The following is a 6,878-nucleotide window of genomic DNA, read 5'->3' on the forward strand; positions in this document are numbered from 1 at the left end:
GTTCCTGACCAGCTCTCACAAGCCCAGAAGTTGCCAAGCCTGTCCTAACCCTGGTGGGGCTCATAGGGAAACCCTTCAAGAGAGGAGCATCTGCTGTGTGGATATCTCCAATGGTAGCCCTGATAAATGAGTATTGTGTGCCCGGAGGTGCCACTGCAGAAATCCCACAAGTTGTGTTGATATTGAAAACTGAGACTTCCCTGGATTCAGCTGGCTCCTGAGAAGTACTCAAGATACTGATATTCTCTGCCATCCACCTTTTCCAGCCATGCAAGGCTTCTATGTACTCAGTGGCCTGCACCAGATGCACCGTTCTACATGCAGTTCCCTGAACACAACACTAACTTTCCTGTCTCCTTGCCTTGCTGTGCTGTACTTTCTTCCAGGAATGCCTTTCCTCCCGATTGGACTCCTAGCAGATATCTGCTCCATGTTGCCTCTGCTTGTGTTTCCTGGCACCCACCCACACCAGGTTCCCACAGGACTTACACATTGTGCTGTGCTGGAATGACCTGTTTTTGTGTCCTCCACCAAACTAGATTGTAGATTCCCCAAAGGGGTCTCTGCATCTGCAGCTCTTGGGCAGAATCTGGCACCCAGCCAAGGCCAACCCAGGCATATTTATGCACAAATGAGACAGTGGCTTTGGGATGAGACTTGTGGGTGACCAAAAAATAGAGAAATAGTAAATATGTTGGGTGATGGAATCAGGATCTCATAAGGTCTGACTTGCGGGATTAGTGGGCTTGATTCAACAAGAGGACTTTAACAGAAATAAATGTTGTGTCTTGAACTTATATTACAAACCGATGGCCCTATAGGAGCAGAAGAGGAGATCCAGGGAGAGCTGCCAGAGCAGCCTCTTACACAAAAGAAAAGCCTGGTGTGATTAGCAGTGACAGGCGTGTAATGGGCTGCCATAAAAAACAAACTCATCCCAGGCAGAATTAATAAAAGTATTCTGCCTAGAATAAAGAGAGTAAAGGGAGGGAATATCCTGAAAAATTACAAAGAGACTCAGATAATCTGAGGGATACCGCAAGGAAATAAAATGAAAACATGAAGAGCTGGCTTCAGATCTCCAAGGGGTTGGCCAAGAAAAGTGAGGGCAGATGGGTCCTGGGGAGCTTCAAGAGGCAAAATAGTGGCTTATCCTCAGCACTTTGGGAGGCCAAGGCGGGAGGATCACTTGAGGCCTGGAGTTCAAGACCACCCTGGGCAGCAAGACCCCACCTCTACAAAAATAAATAAATTAGCCGGGTGTGGTGGCACACGCCTCTAGTCCCAGCTACTTGGGAGGCTGAACGGGGAGGATTGCTGTAGCCCAGGAGTTTGAGGCTGCAGTGAGCTATGATCATGCCACTGCACTCCAGATTGGGCAACAGAACAAGACCCTGACTCTAAAAAGCCTGTCCAAATATCACCTCAGGTAGAAGTAAGCTCCCCATCCCTGAAGGTGTGCAAGCAGTGGCAGGACTGGCCGCTTGACAGGGAGGCTGTAGAACCTTGCTGCTACTTCTTCCAGCCTCTTTTCTTACTGTTCTCCTCCCCACTCACTGTGCTACAGCCACATTGGTGTCCTAGCTGTTCTTCGGTACACTAAGCACATTTTCCCCTCAGGGCCTTTGCACTTGCTGCCCCCATAGCTTGGAAAGCTCTTCCTCTAGAAATTAAAACGTCTTTTCTACCTAGGCAGTACCATTCAGGACACAGGCACAGGCAAAGATTTCATGGCGAAGATGCCAAAAGCAATTGCAACAAAAGCAAAAATTGACAAATGGGATCTAATTAAACTAAAGATTTTCTGCACAGCAAAAGAAACTATCAACAGAGTAAACAGACAGAATGTGAGAAAAATTTTGCAAACTACACATCTGACAAAGGTCTAATATCCAGTATCTATAAGGAACTTAAACAAATTTACAAGAAAAAAAACAAGCAACCTGTTAAAGGTGGGCAAAGGACACGAACAGACACTTCTCAAAAGAAGACATAACATGTATGTGGCCAAAAATCATATGAAAAAAACTCAACATCACTGATCATTAGAGAAATGCAAATCAAAACCATGAGATACCATCTCACACCAGTCAGAATGGCTATTTTTAAAAAATCAAAAAATAATGGATGTTGGCAAAAGAATGCTTACACACTGTTGGTGGGAATGTAAATTAGTTCAACCATCGTGGGAGACAGTGTGGCGATTCCTCAATGACCCAAAGACAGAAATAACATTTGACCCAGCAATCCCATTAATGGGTATATACCCAAAGGAATATAAATCATTCTATTATAAAGACACATACATGCTTATGTTCATTGCAGCACTATTCACAATAGCAATGGAATCAATCTAAATGCCCATCAATGACAGACTGGATAAAGAAAATGTGGTACATATACACCATGGAATACTATGCAGCCATAAAAAAGAATGAGATTATGTCCTTTTCAGGGACAGAGCTGGAGCTAGAGGCCATTATCCTTAGCAAACTAACACAGGAACAGAAAACCAAATACCAAGTGTTCTCACTTACAAGCGGAAGCTAAATGCTGAGAACACATGACACATACAGGGGAAGAACAAACACTGGGGCCTATCGAAGGGTGGGAGTGAGAGGAGGGAGAGGATCAGGAGAAATAACTAATGGGTACTAGGCCTAATACCTGGGTGAGAAAATAATCTGCACAACCAACCCCCATGACACATATTTACCTATGTAACATACCTGCACATATACCCCGAACTTAAAAGTTAAAAAATAGAATGTCTTCCTCCCTCACTTCAATCATATTGCTGCCCATTTGTCACCTCCAGAGAAACACATTCCCTGACCACTCCATCGAAACCTAATATCTGTTTACTGTCTGCCTCTCCCACTATAATATAAACTCCTTGAGAGCAGGGCCTTGGTCTTATTCATGGATGTATCTCCAGTGCCTTGAACGGCCTATCACACAGCAGGTGCTCATTAAATATTTGCCAAATGAACAAAATGAATCACCTCATACATTCCCATTCACAATAACCCTTTCTTGTGTTAATTTCTACAAAAGAGTCTCATGAGGATGAGTCTCATGAAGTCTCAAGAGTCTCATGAAGGAAGATTCATCACCAATGGCATGTTCAATAGACAAGTCATAGAGGCAAGGAAGAGGCGGGAACTCACCCTGACAGTACCTGCCCTGCTGGGCACCATCATGTACATTATTTCATTTAATCTCTACAGGAAAGCTGTGAGGCACAATTATTTCCCCCAAATTTCAAAGCTAAAAGGGCTACATAACATTAGAATTCGTTGGTTGTAAGCAACAGGAGTAATGTTTACTAACGTAGGCAAAGAGGGAATTCTCAATAGGAGGAATGAGGTCATTCACAAGATTGAAGGAAAAACTTCAAAAAAGATGGAGAGCAGAGCAGCTGCAGAGACCCAGGCCCGAGGTGCCAATGGTTCCCACTGGCATTTGACCTGCTGTCTCTCTGTTCAAGATTCAGATTCCTTCCCAAGGGAGAGTCTGATTGGCAGAGCTTGGATCATGTGACTCCCCTTAGCCAGGAGAGGTGAGGAGAACTTGATTGACAGGCTTACAAGCACCGCACAGGATGGGAGATGGGGCTGCCCAAGGGAAATGGAGATGCTATTAGCAGACAAATGAGGACAGGACAAAACAAGAGCAGGTCACTTCCAGGGCTCACAGATCACGGATCCAATGCCCTGCTTGTGCAGAAGCTCAGAGGGGCAAGTGCTCAGCCCACGGTCACACAGGGCGGACACAGGTCCAACACATAGGCCTCCTGGCCCCAGACTTGTGTGAACGTCAAGTCTCACCAGAAGTGGGTATCCAGATCCTTTTACTTCAAACAAGCCCACAAGGAACAACTCTTGCTCTCGTCATGCTTGGAGGTCTTAGCACCACTGTGGACTTTCTTCCACGGTCTCTGAATCCAGGCTCTAAAATACACCCGCTCTAAAATACACCCACTCAAAGGCTCTTCTGAACTTCTTTAACTGCTGCACTGATGGCCACTGGATCTCAAGTGAGAACTAGCATTGCCGACTTCAGGAAGTGACTGTCATAACTAATTTATTTTCATGTCTGTTGTGAAGCCCTCCTGGGGTGGTATAATCCACAGATACAAGCCTGCTTCACCTCTACTAGAAGGGTTTTAAAAATGAAATTAGACATGTTTTTGAGGCAAAATCTCTCACAGCTAACTCCCTGGTTTGGCACAAATTCTCTTAGCATTCGTGACCAAAGGAGACTCCTCCAAACCATTTCCTGTCATCTCCTCTGAGCTGTCAACTTTGATTATTCCTTTCCTGGTACTGTGCCTTGTCTTATACTAAAGGAATAATAAATACCTCCTTTCCCTTTTCTAAATCTAGGACTACCCTGGCACTTTCTATTTCCTACTTTACACAAAACTTTTCAGAAGAAGCTCAAAGGCAATGGCAGCAGTTGCAATAATAAATCACTAGGGAATGAGACCGAGGCTGTTTCTAGGCAGTGACCCAGGAACTGGCTTGTTTGTCCAACATGTGGTGAGCCTACTATGTGCCAGGCCTTCCCCTGTTCTTCCCTCACTGGGCCATTGGCAGTCAGTGTCTTCAGCCATCAGTCAACCAGAACTGCTCTCTGTGGTCCCCCATGGAAGTCCCCTTTCAGCCCTCATTCCCATTCACTTCTTAGCAACGTTTCTTCACCTTGTTCTTCTGTATCCTCCTCACCAGAGCGCAAGCTGCCTGAGGGGGGGACTTTTGTTTTGATCACCACTGACATATCTGCCTCAGAATCCAGAATAGTGCCTGGCACATAGTAGGCACTCAATAAATAGCTGTTGTATGAACAGACGGATGAACCAATGAACCAATAAATGAATGGATCCCTCGTTTCCTTGGAACTCCCTAAATCCCCACACACCAGTATCTCTGGATTCTAGCACAGTGCCTGACACATAGTAAGCGCTTTAAAAATGTGCAATATGCTTGAATAAAATTCTCCTCCCCCTTCTCACTTTGCTCCTTCCCCTCCTTCCTCAGGAATTTCTTTGTCCCTCCTCCTCCCCTTGGCCCCTTATTAAGTGTCTACAGTCCTTGGGGTTTTGTCCTTGTTCCTCTGCAATTCCCACTCTGCAGAAAATGCTCTGTGAGTGATCTCATCCACTCCCACGCTTTCAGCTTCCATCCCCACACCGATGCATGAAGCTGAAAGTAGAAAAAAAAAAAAAAAAACTAAACTAAAAACCGAAATCATTGACTTGGAAGTCCTTAGGAACCTCAAAGCTTGGCAGGTTGAAGGTGTGGCAGAATAATGGATTGAAAATTTAATTTACATTTTGTTTTCCCTGATGTAAGAGAGTCAGAGAAATGATGCGTATTTTATTCTCTGTAATTTTTCCTCACCAATTCTAAGAAAGTACCCAGGACATCTTGCCTCGGGGACGGTGGTGTTGGCTAGACTGAGGGCAAAATTAGCCTGAAGCCTGGCACTTGCCTTTGAAAACAAACTCAGCAAGATAATTCTGGGTCAGAGTTTCTCAGCCTCAGCACTGTTGGCATTTTGAGATGGATAATTTTTTGTTGTGAGGCCATCCTGTGCGTGCCTACCATCATCCCTGGCCTCCATCTCCTAGATGCTAGGAGCACCCTTCCCGCAAGTTGTAACAACCAAAAATCTCCCGGCAATGCCAAACATCCCCTGGGGATGGGGCACAGTGGAGCACGGGGTGGGTGGGTGGGTTACGGGGAGGTGGGAGTGTCGATGGGGGCGGGGCAGGGAATTATCCCTGGCTGAGAAACACTGTGCTAGATAGATCATCCACAAAAGGAGAGAACAGGGGCCCGATGGAAACTGCCAACCTTGGGAATTGGACAGCTTCCCCTACACTGGGAATGGGGGACCCATGAGATTCCAGGAACCACAGTTGGTTCCTCCTTGTTATGTGCTGGGCCACAACCAAAACACAGGTTTCCTTTCCCAGGATCCTCCTGGCTTAGCACGGTCTCTAGTCCTTCCAAGATGGCAGCAGTGTGTAGAGGGAAGGCAGTCTTGGAGCTCTCAGAGTCATTTGGGGTGCTGACTTCCTCGGTCCCGAATGCCTGCCTGCAGGCTTCTGCCTGGTTCCCTGGCTGGGTCCGTGGGCCAGTGATTTCTAGCCTCCCTCTCCACCCCAGGGCTGCTCTTGGCTGCCCCCTTGCTGTCAGGAGCCCCTACTGCAGCAAGACACAGATCAAATCTGTGGGAAGTTTGCTCCTTGTTAGGATAACGTTTGACAAACTGCTTAAAGCATCCCCCAAATCCCCTCAATGTCTTTAGTCCTCTGAGGCTGAATCTTCCAGTAAAGATGACATCCTTTTTAGATCTCTGCTCCCTCCTTGTCAGAAAGTTGTACTCTATGGGCCAGGTACCGTGGCTCATGCCTGTAATCCCAACACCTTAGGAGGACAAGGTGAGGGGATCACTTGAGCCCAGAAGTTTGAGACCAGCCTGGGCAACATAGTGGAGCCCCGTTTCTACAAAAATAAATAAATTAGCCAGGCGTAATGGTGCACTCCTGTAGTCCCAGCTACTCGGGAGACTGAGGTGGGAGGATGGCTTGAGCCCAGGAGGTAGAAGTTACAGTGACCGGTGATTGCACCACTGCACTCCAGCCTAGGTGACAGAGAGAGACCCTGTCTCAAAAAATAAATAAATAAATAAATAAAGCTGTATTCTACATAGCACCAAAGAATGAACACTGCCCAGTGAACGATGATTTCAACTCCATCTCCTCAAAATTGTCCTGCACTTTACAGAAGCTCCTGCTTCACTGAGTCCTTATAAGTGAGTGACATTTTGCAAATACATTGGACTTCCCATTGGTTCCTCCCCAACAG

The 6,878-nt window shown here is 46.2% G+C and overlaps 1 annotated feature.

Moving 5' to 3' along the window:
* Positions 379 to 579: a silencer, noted in NCBI's record as "peak186 fragment used in MPRA reporter construct". NCBI's record gives its function as "represses an SCP1 promoter by STARR-seq MPRAs in K562 erythroleukemia cells {active_cell/tissue: K562}" and the evidence as "EXISTENCE:reporter gene assay evidence [ECO:0000049][PMID:32103011]".

This window comes from Homo sapiens, chromosome 1 (genome assembly GCF_000001405.40).
Source record: "Homo sapiens chromosome 1, GRCh38.p14 Primary Assembly".
In the NCBI taxonomy this organism is placed as follows: domain Eukaryota; kingdom Metazoa; phylum Chordata; class Mammalia; order Primates; family Hominidae; genus Homo; species Homo sapiens.